The sequence below is a fragment of the Homo sapiens genome, chromosome 1, assembly GCF_000001405.40.
Source record: "Homo sapiens chromosome 1, GRCh38.p14 Primary Assembly".
Classification (NCBI taxonomy): Eukaryota; Metazoa; Chordata; class Mammalia; order Primates; family Hominidae; genus Homo; species Homo sapiens.
In genome coordinates this window covers 28,607,892-28,626,921 of record NC_000001.11, presented here as the reverse complement: position 1 = coordinate 28,626,921, position 19,030 = coordinate 28,607,892, and the positions used below count along the sequence as shown (strand labels likewise).

General features: G+C 44.9%; 1 protein-coding gene across 5 annotated transcripts in view; it reads left to right on the top strand.

Moving 5' to 3' along the window:
* TAF12 (TATA-box binding protein associated factor 12) overlaps nucleotides 1-19,030 on the top strand; it is a 45,420-nt gene that overhangs the window by 21,348 nt on the left and 5,042 nt on the right. For 4 of the 5 annotated variants that reach the window (XM_017002186.2, NM_005644.4, XM_024449368.2 and 1 more), the window contains exons 2-4: nucleotides 4,757-5,008; nucleotides 8,892-8,969; nucleotides 13,561-13,675. In XM_017002186.2, coding sequence (XP_016857675.2) covers nucleotides 4,757-5,008; nucleotides 8,892-8,969; nucleotides 13,561-13,675 — 445 coding nt within the window. Of the gene's footprint in view, nucleotides 1-2,891; nucleotides 2,977-4,756; nucleotides 5,009-8,891; nucleotides 8,970-13,560; nucleotides 13,676-19,030 lie in introns of all 5 variants that reach the window. The other variant, NM_001410769.1, reaches the window with a different exon arrangement.

The following is a 19,030-nucleotide window of genomic DNA, read 5'->3' as shown; positions in this document are numbered from 1 at the left end:
TTTTTTTTTTGAGATGGAGTTTCGCCCTTGTCGCCCAAGCTAGAGTTGCAATGGTGCGATCTTGGCTCACTGCAACCTCCGCCTCCCAGGTTCAAGTGATTCTCCTGCCTCAGCCTCCCAAGTAGCTGGGATTACAGGCACCTGCCACCCCACCTGGCTAATTTTTTGTATTTTTAGTAGAGTTGGGGTTTCACCATGGTGGCCAGGCCGGTCTCGAACTCCTGATCTCAGGTGTTCTGCCTGCCTCGGTCTCCCAAAGTACTGAGATTACAAGCGTGAGCCACATCAACCGTCCTAAAAAAGTTTTTCATTATTTATTTGCTTTTTTTTTTTTTTTTTTGAGACAGAGTTTCACTCTTGTTGCGCGGGCTGGAGCGCAGTGGCATGATCTCGGCCCACTGCAACCTCCACCTCCTGGGTTCAAGCAATTCTCCTGCCTCAGCCTCCCAAGTAGCTGGGACTACAGGTGCCTGCCACCAAGTCTGGCTAATTTTTTGTATTTTTAGTAGAGATGGGGTTTCATCATGTTGGCCAGGCTGGTCTCGAACTCCTGACCTCAGGTGATCCACCTGCCGTGGCCTCCTAAAGTGCTGGGATTACAGGCGTGAGCCACTGTGCCCAGCCCTAAAAAAAATTTAGGCTGAGGCCGGGCGCGGTGGTTCATACCTGTAATCCCAGCACTATGGGAGGCCCGAGGCGGGTGGATCACGAGGTCAGGAGTTTGAGACTAGCCTGACTAACATGGTGAAACCCCTCCTCTACTAAAAATACAAAAATCTGCCAGGCATGGTGGTGTGCGCCTGTAATCCCAGCTACCCAGGAGGCTGAGGCAGGAATTGCTTGAACCCGCAAGGCAGAGGTTGCAGTGAGCTGAGATCACACCGCTGCACTCCAGCCTGGGGGACACAGTGAGACTCCGTCTCAAAAAAAAAAAAGAGACGGGGCTGAGTGTGGTGGCCCAAGCCTATAATTCCAGCACTCTGGTAGGCTGAGGCAGGAGAATTACTTGAGGCCAGGAGTTAGAGACCAGCCTAGGCAGCATAGCAAGATCCCATCTCTACCAAAAAAAAAAATTAGCTGGGGCCAGGCGCGGTGGCTCACGCCTGTAATCTCAGCACTTTGGGAGGCCGAGGCAGGCGGATCATGAGGTCAGGAGATCGAGACCATCCTGGCTAACACGGTGAAACCCCGTCTCTACTAAAAATACAAAAAAATAGCTGGGCGTGGTGGTGGGTGCCTGTAGTCCCAGCTACTTGGGAGGCTGAGACAGGAGAATGGCGTGAACCCAGGAGGCGGAGCTTGCAGTGAGCCGAGTTAGTGCCACTGCAGTCCGACCTGGGCGAAAGAGCGAGACTCCGTCTCAAAAAAAAAAAAAAAAAAAAAATTAGCTGGGTGCAGTGGTGTGCACATGTAGTCCTAGCTACTTAAGAGGTTGAGACAGGAGGATTGCTTGAGTCCACGAGTTTGAGTCTGCAGTGAACCATGATTACACCACTACACTCTAGCCTGTCCTACAAAATGAGACCTTGTCTCAAAAAAAAGAGAGAAAGGGACAGTGTCTCACTATGTTGCCCAGACTGACCTGAAAGTCCTGGGCTCAAACAGTACTCCTACTTCAGCCTCCTGAGTAGCTGGGATTATAGGTGCACACCACCACACCCAGATATGTCTCTAGATGTTATAACAAATTCTTACTCAAAAATCTCTGTTATAAAAAGTCTCCACTTATTTTGTGCAATACTCAGTATTATTTGGGAAGTCCCTTGAAGGTTGTGGGAATGTTTTTGAGAGATAAAGTATGTTCAGTGTGAGGCTAGAGTGATGAGGATACAGTTTGATGATCCTTAATGAGGCTTTTGCATAGAACTTGCTTTGGGAAAATAGTTTGCTTTTATAATATTAGAACAGCTATTACCATGTTAAGAAAGGTTTCTATCCTGACTCTTCTATTGGTAATGTTTGTGGGTAGGGGAGAAGGAGGCCACATATGGTTAAAACAAACAAGTGATCCTAATACTCTGCTGTCCCCATCAGCTGGTTCTTGGCCAGCAAGTCAGCCTAGTTAATCTTGGTTTTTTAACCAGTACATACTTAGTTGCCTTTATTAAGCGTAAACCAGGAGAACATGATTTCTTCTTATTATTATTATTTATTTTTTTATTTTTATTTTTTTTTGAGACAGAGTCTCGCTCTGTTGCCCAGGCTGGAGTGCAGTGGCCTGATCTCGGCTCACTGCAACCTCTGCCTCCTGAGTTCAAGTGATTCTCCTGCCTCAGCCTCCCAAGTAGCTGGGATTACAGGCACGTGCCACCATGCCTGGCTAGTTTTTGTATTTTTAGTAACGACTGGGTTTCATTATGTCGGCCATGCTGGTCTCAAACTCCTGACCTCAAGTGATCTGCCTGCCTTGGCCTCCCAAAGTGCTGGGATTACAGGCATGAGCCACTGGGCCGGGCCAGATTTCTCATATTAGAAAGTCAGACAGTGTGGTGAGGAGGAACTCAGGACTAGGGACAAGAGTAGGATAGATACAGTAGACATTTATATTGCCAACTTTTACCAAGTTCTGAAGGCCATTGATATAATTCCTGCAGGCTCATATCCCACAATTTTGCCCAATAAAATATTCCATATGCTGTTAGTTTATCCCTAACAGCAGACATTCATTTTATAAGAAGGTGGTCTATATGTGCCATAATCATCATTAATTAATTTTCAAAGTTGCTTATGAAAGAGATGGAGATGTTTGTCTTGGCTCCCACTAAGGAAAAGGAGATATATTTCTCCACATCCAGTTTGCTTGGATCCTGGTTGGTGAAGATGTACCAGGCCATTCAACTAAAATGGTTCCATGGCAAGGATGGTGCTTGATGCCAGTTGTTCATTTACAGGTAGCTTTTGAAAATGGCTGCCTCTCATTTCACCGGGCTCACAGCTGTTGCTGATGTAATTAAAGATCTAGACACTCAGATAGCTGTAAGTAAGTTTGAGGCTACTGTGAGCAGAACTTGGTGAATGTGCTTCTGATCGTGATGACACCCAAGCTGACGTCCACAGAGTCAGCCTCATGACTCTAAGATTCAGGAGTCTCAGCTGCTCCAGACTAGGGTCTCTGCATGTACTTAGATTGCTAACACTCAGAGAAAAATTGCTCTTGATAAAGAGGAGTTTACTTTTAACAGCTGCTAAAAGTTATGTTTATTGGGCATAGCCCTGACATAGACTTAAGCATGTTTGAAATGCCAGAATGAACTAGTCTGTATTCTTAAGCTTTGTGACTGATTTTTTTAAAGGATGTGATTGTGCTATGACTTATTTGAATTTAACATTATTTGATACTTTAAAAATAATGCATGTAGTACTTAACTATTTTTACAAAGTTCTCAAAAATGTCTTGCTTATTCTAGTTTATTTATTTATTTATTTATTTATTTTTATTATTATTTGAGATGGAGTTTCGTCAACCTCTGCATCCCGAGTTCAAGCAATTCTTCTGCCTTAGCCTCCCAAGTAGCTGGGATTACAGGCGTGTGTCACCACGCCCGGCTAATTTTGTGTTTTTAGTAGAGTTGGGGTTTCTCCATGTTGGTCAGGCTAGTCTCAAACTCCTGACCTCAGGTGATCCACCCACCTCGGCCTCCCAAAGTGCTGGGATTACAGGCATGAGCCACTGTGCCCAGCCTCTAGTTTATTTTTATTTCATTTTATTTTTAGATAGTGTCTCACTCTGTCACCTAGGCTGGAATGCAGTAGTGGTGTGATCATGGCTTATTGCAGCCTCAACTTCTTGGGCTCAGGCAATCCTCCTGCCTTAGCCTCCTGAGTAGCTAGGACCACATGCTACCATGTCCAGCTAAGTGTTTTTTGTGTTTTGTTTTTTTTTTTGTGGGGCGGTGGGGGCGAGTCTCACTCTGTTGCCCAGGCTGGAGTACAGTGGCGTGATCTCGGCTCACTGCAAGCTCTGTCTCCTGTGTTCAAGTGATTGTCCTGCCTCAGTCTCCCCAGTAGCTGGGAGGGATTATAGGCATGTGCCACTACGCCTAGCCAATTTTTTTGTATTTTTAGTAGAGATGGGGTTTCACCATGTTGGTCAGGCTCCTCTCGAACTCCTGACCTCAGGTGATCTACCCGCCTTGGCCTCCCAAAGTGCTGGGATTACAGACCTGAGCCACCACACCCAGCCCCAGCTAAATTTTTACAGAGATAGGGCTTCCCCATGTTCCCCAGGCTGGTCTTGAACTCCTGTCTCAAGTGGTCCTTCCACTTCAGGCACCCAACATGCTGGGATTACAGACATGAGCTACTGCACGCGGCCCTAGTTTATTTTTGTACATAAGATTCTTCATTTCATTTACTTGCTTCCTTGTTTAAATTTTGTGGACTATTTCACTTAATATTTGGAAATGAGATGGTTTCTAAATATCAGCTGAGAGTAATAAACATTCTTCATTCCCTCAATTTTTAACCTGTGGATATTAAATGGTCACCATTCCATATATACTGAAGAACCCTCAAAGTCTAACAGACCTCATTTTACTTACTTTTTTTTTTTTTTTTTTTTCTTGGTAGAGACTAGGTCTCGCTATGTTGCCCAAGCTGGTCTTGAACTACTGGGCTCAAGTGATGCTACCACCTGGGCCTCCCAAAGTGCTGGGATTACAGTTGTGAGCCATTGCACCAGGCCTCTTTTTACTCTCAAGATTCATCCTTTATTACAGGTTCTTCTAGAGCTAATTCTTGTGCTTTTCTTCTCCAGTTAATTGGCCTTGGTCCTCACAGCTCCAAAAAGAAACAGGATCTCGATAAGCTCTATGAGCTGAAGTCCAAAGCTCGGCAGATTATGAACCAGTTTGGCCCCTCAGCCCTAATCAACCTCTCCAATTTCTCATCCATAAAACCGGAACCAGCCAGCACCCCTCCACAAGGCTCCATGGCCAATAGTACTGCAGTGGTAAAGATACCAGGCACTCCTGGGGCAGGAGGTCGTCTTAGCCCTGAAAACAATCAGGTATCATCCTCTTACTCTTTCTTCTCTGTAGCCACTTCTTACCTATTATTTCAATCTGTAATACTTTAAGAGATGTCCATCTCAGATGCTGCTTTTTTCTCTTAGCCGAAAAGGTCTTTTCCCTCTTTTGGATTTCTAACTTTTTTTGTTTGTTTTAATATAAGTAGAGAGTTTATTTGGGCCAAATTTGAGGACTCCCAATTCAGGAGACACAGATTCAAGTTGTCCTGAATGTATACTCCTCTGGGAACATTCTTTAGCAAATTATCATGTACAATGTTTATTAATTACTGTATTGTATGTGGTTGTGTGTATGCATATATACATCCATCCATCCATCTGTACACACTAACACAATACCTTGCCTATGAAAGGTGTTTTTTTCCTTTCATTTTGATAAGTGCTTTATATACATGTTAACCATGTAGTTGTTAAATAAAATAATAAATTGATTCATTATTCCTATGATAAAAGTACTCTTGCTTCTAGTCATTCCATCTTCTAGTTCATCCAATTGCTGCCATTATTAATTTTCTGCAGTGATTCTAAAATCTGCTCCATTCTTTCTACCCATAATTCTGATTCTGCCCTCCAGAGCCACAAGAAATAAGTATAATCCCTTTGACTTGTTTTTTGTAGGCTGTGTAGAATGGATGAGTTCGCCCAGTATTTCAAGGGAATGAGTGGAGGGACTTGCAAAGATTAATGAGAGCGGGTTGGGCAGTCAGGATATCAACCTATGTTGAATATGGAGTCTGTTGTAGAAGACAGAATTTAAAATTGTATAGGTAGGGCAGAACATAGTGGACCTGTACTAGTCAATTTCCATTGGAACTTTTAGGCAATATACAATCTTTGCAGATATTTAATAAAGGAGTAAAAGTAACATAATAAAAATAGTGTGTCCTATAGAGGATTAACTTGGCAGTAAGGGGACAGGATGGGTAGAAAAGGGGGTTAGACTGGGTGGATGACCAATTCTAAGATTTTTGCAATAAATCAAGACATGTAGTGAAGGCTCGAATTAGGTGATAATGATAGAATGAAGAAGAATGGATAGATATGAGACATCATTAACAAATATTTATTCATTTTTTTTAGAGAAAGGGTTTTGCTCTGTTGCCTGGGCTAGAGTGCAATGGTATAATCATAGCTCACTGTAGCCTCAAATTTCTGGGTTCGGCCGGGCATGGTGGCTCAAGCCTGTAATCCCAGCACTTTGGGAGGCCGAGGTGGGCGGATCACGAGGTCAGATCAAGACCATCCTGGCTAACACGGTGAAACCCCGTCTCTACTAAAAATACAAAAACATTAGCCAGGCGTGGTGGCAGGCGCCTGTAGTCCCAGCTACTCGGGAGGCTGAGGCAGGAGAATGGCGTGAACCCAGGAGGTGGAGCTTGCAGTGAGCAGAGATTGCGCCACTGCACTCCAGCCTGGGCGACAGAGCGAGACTCTGTTGCAAAAAAAAAAATTATTTTCTTGGGTGTGCGCGGTAGCTCACGCCTGTAATCCCAGCACTTTGGGAGGCCAAGGCAGGCGATAACCCAAGGTCAAGAGTTCGAGACCAGCCTGGCCAATATGCTGAAACCCCATCTCTACTAAAATTACAAAAATCAACCTGGCATGGTGGTGCACACCTGTAGTCCCAGCTACTCAGGAGGCTGAGGCAAAAGAATCACCTGAACCCGGGAGGCAGAGGTTGCAGTGAGCCGAGATTACACCACTGCACTCCAGCCTGGGTGATAGAACGAGATTCCGTCTCAAAAAAAAAAAAAATTTTTTTTCTTTTTTCCTTATTTCAAAAGTTATATGTGTTCATCACAGAAACTTCAGAAATACACAAAGAATAAATAGCCTATAATTCTAATGCCACCACCCTAAAATAGCCATGGTTAGCATTTTAGTGTATGTCTTTTGGTGTTTTTCTTTTTTTCCTCTGTCTGTCTCTCTCTCTTTTTTTTTTTTGAGACAGAGTCTCGCTCTATCACCCAGGATGGAGTGCAATGGCATAATCTTGGCTCACTGCAACCTCCTCCTCCCAATTCAAGCTATTCTCCTGCCTCAGCCTCCCTAATAGTTGGAATTATAGGCACCCACACCATGCCCAGCTAATTTTTGTATTTTCAGTAGAGACAGGGTTTCGCCATGTTGGTCAGGCTGGTCTCAAACTCCTGACTTCAGGTTATCCACCCGCCTCAGCCTCCCAAAGTGCTAGGATTACAGGCATGAGCCACCGTACCCGGCTTTTTTTTTTTTTTTTTTTTTTCAGTGGAATTTTACTAGAAGGTTTAGAGCAGGAAAGAAAGGAAAGTACACTTGGAAGAGACTCAAATGGGCACTGAGGAGGTCAAGTGCCTAACTTTTTCTTTTTTCTTAATTTATTTTTTATATATTTTTTAGATTTTTTTTTTTTTTTGAGATGGAGTCTCACTCTGTTGCCCAGGCTGGAGTGCAGTGGCGCAATCTCGTCTCACTGCAAGCTCTGCCTCCCGGGTTCACGCCATTCTCCTGCCTCAGCCTCCCAAGTAGCTGGGACTACAGGCGCCCGCCACCACGCCTGGCTAATTTTTTTTTTTGCATTTTTAGTAGAGACAGGGTTTCACCGTGTTAGCCAGGATGGTCTCAGTCTTCTCACCTCGTGATCCGCTCACCTCGGTCTCCCAAAGTACTGGGATTACAGGCATGAGCCACTGCACCCAGCCATTTTGTAGATGTTTTTTTTAAATAGAGATGCAGTCTCGCCATGTTGCCCAGGCTGGTCTTTGAACTCCTGGGCTCAGGTAGTCCTCCCACCTCGGCCTTCCAAAGTGGTGGGATTACAGGCGTGAGCCACTGTGCCAGGCCCTTTTTTTTGTTTGTTTCTTAAGACATGAGGTCTTCCTGTGTTCCCCAGGCTGGAGTGTAGTGGCACAATCATAGCTCACTGCAGTCTCTAACTCCTGGCCTCAAGTGATCCTCCTGCCTCAGCCTGCTGAGTAGCTGGGACTACAGGCACAGATCACTGTGCCTGGCTTTCTTTTGATTACTTTTTAATGGCATACGTATGTAACATGACATTTCCTTTATGAAGGCTGCCCTCAGGGAGCTTTTAGCCTATTAAGTCAGAAACAGGGAAGTATATAAATATGCACAATGATAAAGGGTACACAGGATACAGTAGAGGCCAAAGGAGGAAGTAAGTGGTTACCTTTACTGGGATGGGCTAGGAAAAGCATCAGAAAGAGGCACCATGAGCTAAGCAAGAAGGAAGAAGAGAGGAAGAGTGTGTACAGCACTTTGGGAGGCTGAGGTGGAAGAATCACTTGAGGCCAGGAGTTCAAGAGCAGGCTGCACAACATAGCGAGATCCTGTCTCTCAAAAAAAAAAAAAAAAAAAAAAATTAGCCAGGTATGATGGCACGTGCCTATGGTCCCAGCTAGCTGGGAAGCTTAGGTGGGAGAGCTTGGCAGTCAAGGCTACAGTAAGCCATGATCATGCCACTGCACTCCAGTGGGCAATAGAGCAAGACCCTGTCTCAAAAACAAAACAAAACAAAAAAACAAACTTGTCTAAAGGCAAGGGGCATGGTACAATTTGTGGTGGTCAGAGAATTGCAAATTTCTACATGTGAAGAGACACAGTGAGAAAAAGACATGAGGCTGAAATATACTGCCTGACAGCTGGATGCTGGCCTGTCTTCAAACTGCTCTTTCCACCTTTCCCTAAGTTACTTCTGTCTTGAGAGTGTAGTCTTACAGCAGCATAGTCAGGTAGGCCAGACTGTGAACTCATTGGAAAGTGGAAACTAAAACCAACAATTTGACAGCCTTTCTTCATTACAGGGTAATGATTTGTTTCATTTCCTTAATATCTGGTTGAAAAGTCTTCTTCCAATTAACTTTAGGTATTGACCAAGAAGAAATTACAGGACTTAGTAAGAGAAGTGGATCCTAATGAGCAGTTGGATGAAGATGTGGAGGAGGTAAGGTGGGGTTGGGTACCCCAGAAACTGGTCCCTGAGAACCGGTATAGCATAGTGGTTAAGAGCACAAACAGGCCAGATGCAGTGGCTCATGCCTTTTGAGAGACCAAAGCAGGAGGATTGCTGGAACCCAGAGGTTCAAGACCAGCCTAGGCCATATAATGAGACCTTGTCTCTGCAAAAAATTAAACAATTAGCTGAGTGCCAGGTGTGGTGGCTCACTCCTGTAATCCCAGCACTTTGGGAGGTCGAGGTGGGCGGATCACAAGGTCAGGAGATCAAGACCATCCTGGCTAACACAGTGAAACCCCGTCTCTACTAAAAATACAAAAAACAAAATTAGCCGGGCATGGTGGCGGGCGCCTGTAGTCCCAGCTACTCGGGAGGCTGAGGCAGGAGAATGAAGTGAACCTGGGAGGCGGAGTGCAGTGAGCCGAGACCATGCCACTGCACTCCAGCCTAGGCGACAGAGCAAGACTCCATCTCAAAAAAAAAAAAAGAAAAAAAATTAGCTGAGCGTGGTGGTGTGTACCTGTAGTTCCAGCTACTAGGGAGGTTGAAGTGTTCTTAAACCCAGAAGGCCGAGGTTGCAGTAAGCCAAGATTGTACCACTGCAATAAATAAATAAAATAAGAGCACAGACAAATCTGAATTTGCTTTATACCCAATAACTGCTGCTACTTTTGCCTGTTAAAAACGGCATAGTCTGTTGCTCACAGGCAATCACTTTCAACAATTTTAGCTGTTTCTGTAACATTCTTCTATATTTCTAAGTAATATACTTAAAAAGATACTCTTTGACCCATTAATTTTATAATATTCTTTTTTTTTTGAGACGGAGTTTCGCTGTTGATGCCCACGCTGGAGTGCAATGGCGCGATCTTGGCTCACCGCAACCTCCGCCTCCTGGGTTCAAGCGATTCTCCTGCCTCAGCCTCCTGAGTAGCTGGGATTATAGGCATGCACCACCACACCTGGCTAATTTTTGTATTTTTAGTAGAGATGGGGTTTCTCCATGTCAGTCAGGCTGGTCTCAAACTCCTGACCTTAGGTGATCCACCTGCCTTGGCCTCCCAAAGTTCTGGGATTACAGGTGTGAGTCACCGTGCCTGGCCAATTTTATAAGATTCTGTTGATTCCCTATTATGGTAGATGAGAATTTTTTACACTACTCAATGTGTGCCATATAACTTTTATTTATTTATTTATTTATTTTTTTGAGACAGTCTTGCTCTGTTGCCCAGGCTGGAGTATAGTGGCAGGATCTCAGCTTACCGCAACCTCTGCATCCCGGGGGTTCAAGTGATTCTCCTGCCTCAGCCTCCCAAGTAGCTGGGATTATAGGCATGTGCCACCACACCTGGCTAATTTTTGTATTTTTTAGTAGAGATGGGGTTTTGCCATGTTGGCCAGGCTGGTCTCGGACTCCTGACCTCAGGTGATTCACCCACCTCGGCCTCCCAAAGTGCTGGGATTACAGGCATGAGCTATCACGCCTGCTGGTCCATATAACTTTCCTTACTGTTTTTCTTTTTCTTTTCTTTTTTTTTTTTTTTTGAGACAGAATCTTGCTCAGCTGCCCAGGCTGGAGTGCAGTGGTGCGATATCGGCTCACTGCAAACTCCATCTCCCAGGTTCAAGTGATTCTTCCACCTCAGCCTCCCGAGTAGCTGGGATTACAGGTGCACACCACCATACCTGACTAATTTCGTATTTTTAGTAGTAACAAAGTTTTACCATGTTGGCCAGGCTGGTCTCAAACTTCTGACCTCAAGTGATCTGTCCACCTCAGCCTCCCACAGTGCTGGGATTATAGGTCTGAGCCACTATGCCCGACCCTGGCTATTCATTCTTAAAGAATCACTCACTGAAAAGCTGATTTGAAGTATAATTGATGGATTTGGCCCAGTAATATATGGGTAAATGTTTAACAACTAGCTCTTTGGAGAAAAATGCCCGATTTGCAGTGCTTTATTATTTCTGTGGTGTAACTATTTCTACCAACATGACATCACTAAATACAAACTTGGGAAAAGAGGTACACAGTTGGCTTTTATGAGCTGGTCTCGGTTCACTCTAGCAGACCACAAGACTTTACTTCAGAGTAATTTGTCCACAAGTCAACCTTCCTAATGGAAGATTCCCTAAATGTCAGTATCTGTAAGTCTTTTCTCTGGAATCATTCAATATCTCCGGAGAAAATTCCAGTCTCCTATCTTGAGGATTTATCCCTTAGCTTCTTTTTTTTTTTTTTTTTTTTTTTTTTTTTTTTTTGAGACGGAGTCTCGCTCTGTTGACCAGGCTGGAGTGCAGCGGCATGATCTTGGCTCACTGCAACCTCCACCTCCCGGGTTCAAGTGATTCTCCTGCATCAGCCTCCTGAGAAGCTGGGACTACAGGCACACGCCACCACACCTGGCTAATTTTTGTAATTTTAGTAGAGACGGGGTTTCACCATATTGGTCAAGCTAGTCTCGAACTCCTGACCTCAGGTCATCCACCCACTTCGGCCTCCCAAAGTGCTGGGATTACAGGCATGAGCCACTGCACCTGGCAATATTTTTTTAACTTATTTTAATGGGATTAGGGAGGGACAGGAGGTTATTTTTAGAGTTGATCTGCTGTTTAATCTGAAATCTTTCTCTAAGATGGTGTCCATTTGGTTCCCACAGTAAAGATGACAATGAGTTAATGGTCCACCAGAACAAGGAATTTTGTATCTATGGTTGTAATTTTAGTTTGTTTTTGTTTGTCAGCAGAAGCTGCCATGGGGACTATATTGACTGATAAAAATCTCAGTTTTTTCATGTGCGTGCATATATATATATTTATTTATTTATTTATTTTTGAGACAAGGTGTCTGTCACCTAGGCTGGAGTGCCGTGCCATGATCACAGCTCACTGTAGTCTCGACTAACTGGACTCAAGCAGGCGTCCCACTTCAGCCTCCCAAGTAACTGGGACTACAAGTGCATGCCACCAAGCCCAGCTAATTTCTGTATGTTTTGTAGAGACAGGGTTTTGCCATCCATGTTGCCCAGGCTAGTCTCGAACTCCAGAGCTCAATCAAACCATCTGCCTCGGCCTCCCGAAGTGGTGGGATTATAGGAGTGAGCCACTGCTCCTGGCCTCGTAGATTTTTATCTTCAGAATTCTCATCCTTCTCTTCACACAGTCCAATAATAATTGATAGTGATGTGGAAAGAACTCAAGATTTAGACTCAGAACGCTTGAGGTGGCATCCTGGTTCCTCTGCTTGCTTGCTTTTTTTTTTTTTTGTCTCGCCCTGTCACCCAGGCTGGAGTGCAGTGGTTCAGTCTCGGCTCACTGCAACCTCTGCTGCCCCGGCTTCAGCGATTCTCCTGCCTCAACCTCCAGAGTAGCTGGGATTACAGATGCCTGCCACCATGCCCAGCTAATTTTGTATTTTTAGTAGAGGCAGGGTTTTACCATGTTGGTCAGGCTGGTCTCAAATTCCTGACTTCAGTTGATCCACCTGCCTTGGCCTTCCAAAGTGCTGGGATTATAGGCATGAGCCACTGTGCCTGGCCCTTAGAGACTGGGTTTCACCATGTTGGTCAGGCTGGTCTCAAACTCCTGACCTCAAATGATCTGCCCACCTCAGCCTCCCAAAGTTCTGGGATTATAGGTGTGAGCCACCATGCCTGGCCTCTATTTATTTGTTATTATTTTTTTAATTATTGGTTTTTTGTTTTGAGACAGAGTCTCGCTCTGTCGCCAGGCTGGAGTACAGTGTCACGATCTTAGCTCACTGCAACCTCCGCCTCCCAGGTTCAGGTAATTCTCCTGCCCCAGCCTCCCAAGTAGCTGGGACTACAGGCACGTGCCACCACGCCCAGCTAATTTTTGTATTTTTAGTAGAGACAGGGTTTCACCATGTTGGCCAGGATGGTCTCAATCTCTTGACCTCGTGATTCACCTGCCTCAGCCTCCCAAAGTGCTGGGGTTACAGGCGTGAGCCACCACGCCCGGCCTATTTATTTTTAAATACAGATGGGGCTCTTGCAATATTGTTGGGCTGGTCTCGAACTTCTGACCTCAAGTGATCCTCCCAACTCGGCTTCCCAAAGTGCTGAGATTACAGGCATGAGCCATTGTACCTGGCCTTCTGCTTTCTACTTACATGGCCATGAACAAATTAGTCTCTCTGAGTCTGTGAAATCCTCTATGGAATGAATAAAATCCATGTCCCATTTTCTTCACAGGATTATTGTAAGGACTAAGTGAGATAATGGAAACAAAAGTGCTTTTAAGATACTGTGAGTGAGGAATTGAAATGATTCACTTTTATTTTCCCACTAATAAATAAAGATATGGAGGGTAGGGATTGGGATAGTTGATCACTGCTGGGTAGAAAGTATATGCTCAGAAAGGTGTGAGTTGCACTCAACCTGGGTAACATTTCTTTTGTCCTTCTCATTCCTCTTCCCCACCTTAGCCCAAATGCTGATTCCAGCCTTCTACTAGAATGCCTGACTAAATATGCAATCCAAGCTGAAAGCAGTTGTCCCAGCAACAGGAGCCTACCCTGCCAATGTCGTGCTGACTCTTCCCACTTTACCTTCCCCAGATGCTGCTGCAGATTGCTGATGATTTTATCGAGAGTGTGGTGACAGCAGCCTGTCAGCTTGCGCGGCATCGCAAGTCTAGCACCCTGGAGGTGAAAGATGTCCAGCTGCATTTAGGTATGTGGTCTTGTTTCTCCCTGAAGTATGGATTCAACTGCTTCTTCAGGACTGCCAGGGAAAGTGTAGTCAGAGGAACCTTCATGCCAGAACCAGACTTTTGGGCACTGGGATTTATGTATTAATTCAATAACAGCACCAAATAGAAAAGAGAAATCCATCTGTGGTAGGGAGAATGAGCCCAGGCATGGGTTTGAAACCAGATTCTGCCACTTTCTAGTTGTATCAGCCTATTTTTCCTACCTAGTATCTCTTAGAGTCTGTTTCCTCATTTGTAAAGTGAGGATCATAATATCCTCCTTACAGAATAATCGTGAGAATTATAGACCATGTCTGTAAAGTGACTGGCACAGGGCCTGCACAAAGTAGGATCTAGTCAATGTAGGTACTGTTATGTCTTCACCATGCAAATAAAACTGTTCCTCAGTGTTCCCTTAGAGTTTTAGCCTATTTATGCATTTTTTCCAAAGTTTATAATCGTAATATACATACAATTTTATAGTCTCCTTTTCTACTTAACAGACACTAAATTTGAGTTTGAGTTTTTCTGGGAGATACTCAGCTAACAGTGATGACCATAATCACTTGGAAATGAATAAGCAGCCCTCTGCATTGGATACGATGTGATTAAAAGAAAGAGATCAGTCTATAACTATGTGTTATATATATGTATATATATGTATATATTTATGTGTGTATATATATTTATATATAATTTATATATATTTATATATAATTTTTATATATATTTGTATATACTTTATGTATAATACTTTATATATATAAATATATATATATATATTTTTTTGATCGAGTCTCACTGTCACCCAGGTTAGAGTGCAGTGATGCCATCTCAGCAACCTCTACCTCCTGGGTTCAAGCGATTCTCCTGCCTCAGCCTCCTAAGTAGCTGGGACTACAGGCCTGCACCACCACACCTGGCTAATTTTTGTATTTTCAGTAGAGATAGGGTTTCATCATGTTGGTCAGCCTGGTCTTGTACTCCTGGCCTCTGTTGATCCACCTGCCTTGGCCTCCCAAAGTGCTGGGATTACAGTCATGAGCCACCATGCCCAGCCCAGTCTATAACTATAGAGACAGGCCAAATGAATGAGATTCGGTGCAGATCAGCCCATGACTAATTATTGAAAGACTTTCTTCACAGTGTCAAGAAGCTGTTGCCTTGGGGAGGCATTGGTAGTCTAGGTAAAGTAAATAACACACTTCAGGTAATGTTGCTGGTATCTAGAGAAAAGAACAGATATTTTGGTTATCCATTAATGTGTAGCAGACCACCCCAAAAACAGTGGTTTAGCACAATAACAGTTGTTGATTTGATTCATGAATCTGGGGGTTGACTGGGCTCAGCTAGTTTTACTAAGTCAGGCAGTGGCTGGGCCTGAGATTGTCTTGAAGGAAGGCATACTAGTTTCCTAGGGCTACCTTAACAAAATACCATAAACTTGGCAGCTTAAAACAACAAAAAATTTTCTCTCACAGTTCTGCAGGCCAGAAACCTGAAATCTAAGTGTCAGCAGGGTCATGCTTCCTCTGCTGCCCCTAGGGAAGAATCTATTCTTGCCTCCTTCTAGCCTCTGGTGGTGGCTGGCAATCCTTGGTGTTCTGTGGCTTGTAGCTACAGAAATCCAGGCTTTGCCACGGTCTTTACGTGGCCTTTTCCCTCTGTGTCTCTGTCTCTGTGTCTCTTCTTTTCTTCTCATAGGACACCAGTCATATTGGATTAAGGGCTAACCCTACTCCAATATGATCTCATTTTAACCAATTTCATCTGCAACATCCCTATTTCCAAATAGGATCATATTCTGGAGGTACTTAAGGTTAAGACCGCAACATATCTTTTTTAGGGACACTTTTAAATAACCCATAACGGAAGGCTTCATATCTTCCGTGTCTGATGCCTGGTCTAAGAACACTGAAAAAGGTGGGATTCTGCAGGCGTCTCCCTCCGTCCCTCCCAACCCTCCCATTCTGCTTCACATTCCCCAATCCTACCCTTCCCATCTTCCCCACCCACCGTCTCTCTATATGGTCTCATCCTTTAGCAGTCCCAGGATAGCTAGACTTCTTATGTGGCAGCTAAGCAGCTAAAGGCTCCCAGAACTAACATCCCATGAGCACCTGGCAGAAAACTTCATGGCCTTTTCTAACACAGTCTTCAGCATCACTCCTGGTGAATTCTATTCTTTGAGGCAGTCAGAAACCTGTCCAGGTTCAGGGGGAGGGAACACAGACTCCACCTGTGTTTTTTTTTTTTTTTTTTTTTTTTTTGAGACAGTCTCACTCTGTTGCCCAGGCTGGAGTGCAGTGGCGCAATCTTGGCTCACTGCAACCTCCGCCTCCCAGGTTCAAGGGATTCTTCTGCCTCAGCCTCCTGAGTAGCTGGGACTACAGGCACACGCCACCATGCCCAGCTAATTTTTGTATTTTTAGTAGAGATGGGGTTTCACCATATTGGCCAGGCTGGTCTCAAACTCCTGACCGCCTGATCCTCCCCGCTCAGCCTCCCTAAGTGCTGAGATTACAGGTGTGAGCCACCATGCCCGGCTGACTCCACCTCTTGATAGCAGGAGGGTAAAGGAATTTATAAACATGTTTTACAACCACCACTAGTGGCCTGGCATGGTGGCTCACACCTGTAACTCCAGCATTTTGGGAAGCTGAGGCAGGAGGATCGCTTCAGCCCAGGAGTTCAAGACTAGCCTGGTTAACACAGTGAGACCTCACTGTGTTACAAAAGATTTAAAAGATTTAAAAAAGATTTAAAAAATTAGCCAGGCATGGTGGAGTGCACCTGTAGTCCCAGCTACTCAGGAAGCTAAGACAGGAGGATCACTTGAGCCTGGGAGGTCAAGGCTGCAGTGAGCTATCATGCCACTGCACTCTAGCCTGAGTGACAGAGTAAGACCCTGTCTCTAAATAAATAAATAAGTAAATACATACATAATTAAAAAACAAATCGGCCAGGCGCAGTGGCTCACGCCTGTAATCCGAGCACTTTGTGAGGCCGAGGCAGGTGGATCATGAGTTCAAGACCAGCCTGGCCAAGATGGTGAAACCCTGTCTCTACTAGAAATACAAAAATTACCTGGGTGTGGTGGCAGGTACCTGTAATCCTAGCTACTCGGGAGTCTGAGGCAGGAGAATCACTTGAACCTGGTGGGGTGGAGGTCGCAGTGAGCCAAGATCTTGCCACTGCATTCCAGCCTGGGTGACAGAGACTCCGTCCCAAAAAAAAGAAAAAAAAAATAATCCCCCACAACACAAATTCATAGAGACAGAAAGTAGAATAAGTAGAATGGTGATTACCAGGGGCTAAGGGGAAGGGGGTACAGGGAGTTGTTTAATGGATATAGAGTTTCAGTTTGGGAAGATGGATATCCTCAATTTGGGAGTTCTGGAGATGGATGATGCTGATGGTTGCATAACAAATGTGAATTGGGGCCAGACACGGTGGCTCACGCCTGTAATCCCAGCACTTTGGGAGGCCAAGGTGGGCGGGTCACCTGAGGTCAGGTGTTCGAGACCAGCCTGGCCAACACGGTGAAACCCCATCTCTACCAAAAATACAAAAATTAGCTGAGCGTGGTGGTGCACGCCTGTAGTCCCAGCTACTCCAGAGGCTGAGGCACGAAAATCGCTTGAATCCAGGAGGCAGAGGTTGCAGTGAGCCAAGATCACACCACTGCACTCCAGCCTGGGCGACAGAGCAGTAGCCCATCTCAGAAAAAAAAAAGTTAAAGTTAAATGAGATAATTTACATAGAATGCTTTGCACAATGTTGCTTTGACCATGCATTTACTACATTTCATTCACTAAATGATTGTTGTTGCTATTATATTAAGATTATATAGGCCGGGCATGGTGGCTCACGCCTGTAATCCCAGCACTTTGGGAGGCCGAGGCGGGCATTTCCCTTGAGGTCAGGAGTTCGAGACCAGCCTGACCAACGTGGAGAAACCCTGCCTCTACTAAAAATACAAAATTAGCCGGGCGTGGTGGCATGTGCCTGTAATCCCAGCTACTCGGGAGGCTGAGGCAGGAGAATCGCTTGAACCTAGGAGGCGGAGGTTGCAGTGAGCCGAGATCACACCATTGCACTCCAGCCTGGGCAACAAGAGCAAAACTCAGTCTCAAAAAATAAATAAATAAAAAAGATTATATAAGATATATGTATACACACATAACGCATATAGGTATACGTAGTTACATAAATAGACACACATACATGTATGTATTCATGTGTGGTAGCTACTGTCTTTATTATTTCTTTCTTTATTTATTTTTGAGACGGAATTTCACTCTTTTTGCCCAGGCTGGAATGCAAGGGTGTGACCTCGGCTCACTGCAACCTCTGCCTTCCAGGTTCAAGTGATTCTCCTGCCTCAGCCTTCGGAGTAACTGGGATTACGTAGGCGCCCTCCCACCACGCCTGGCTAATTTTTTGTCTTTTATTTATTTATTTATTTACTTTGAGACAGAGTCTCAGTCTGTCGCCCAGACTGGAGTGCAGTGGCACAATCTCCGCTCACTGCAACCTCTGCCTCCCGGGTTCAAGCGATTCTCCTGCTTCAGCCTCCCGATTAGCTGGGACCACAGGCACACGCCACCACGCCTGGCTAATTTTTTGTATTTTTAGTCGAGACGGGTTTTCACTGTGTTGCCCAGGCTGGTCTCCAACTCCTGAGCTCAGGCAATCTGCCTACCTTGGCCTCCCAAAGTGCTGGGATTGCAGCCGTGAGCCACCACACCCGGCCTGCTCTCTTTCTTTAAAGTGACTTTGCACACTTTATCTACTTTTTGTTGACTGTAAAGTTCAATTCGTAGAGAATAACCTTTGTCTGCAACCTCCACCACCTGAGTTCAAGGGATCCTTTTTTTTTTGAGATGGAGCCTTGCTCTATCGCCCACGCTGGAGTGCAGTGGCGCGATCTTGGCTCACTGCAAGCTCTGCCTCCCAGGTTCACACCATTCTCCTGCCTCAGCCTCCCGAGTAGCTGGGACTACAGGCGCCCGCCACCACACCCGGCTATTTTTTTTTTTTTTTTTTTTTGTATTTTTAGTAGAGACCGGGTTTCACTGTGTTAGCCAGGATGGTCTTGATCTCCTGACTTTGTGATCCACCAGCCTTGGTCTCCCAAAGTGCTCGGATTACAGGCATGAGCCATCACGCCCGGCTGTTCAAGGGATTCTTGTGCCTTGTAGCTGGGATTATAGGCACTCACCATCACTCTTGGCTAATTTTTGTATTTTTAGTAGATAGGAGGTTTCACCATGTTGTCCAGGCTGATCTTGAACTCTTGGCCTCAAGTGATCCATCCGCCTCAGCCTCCCAAA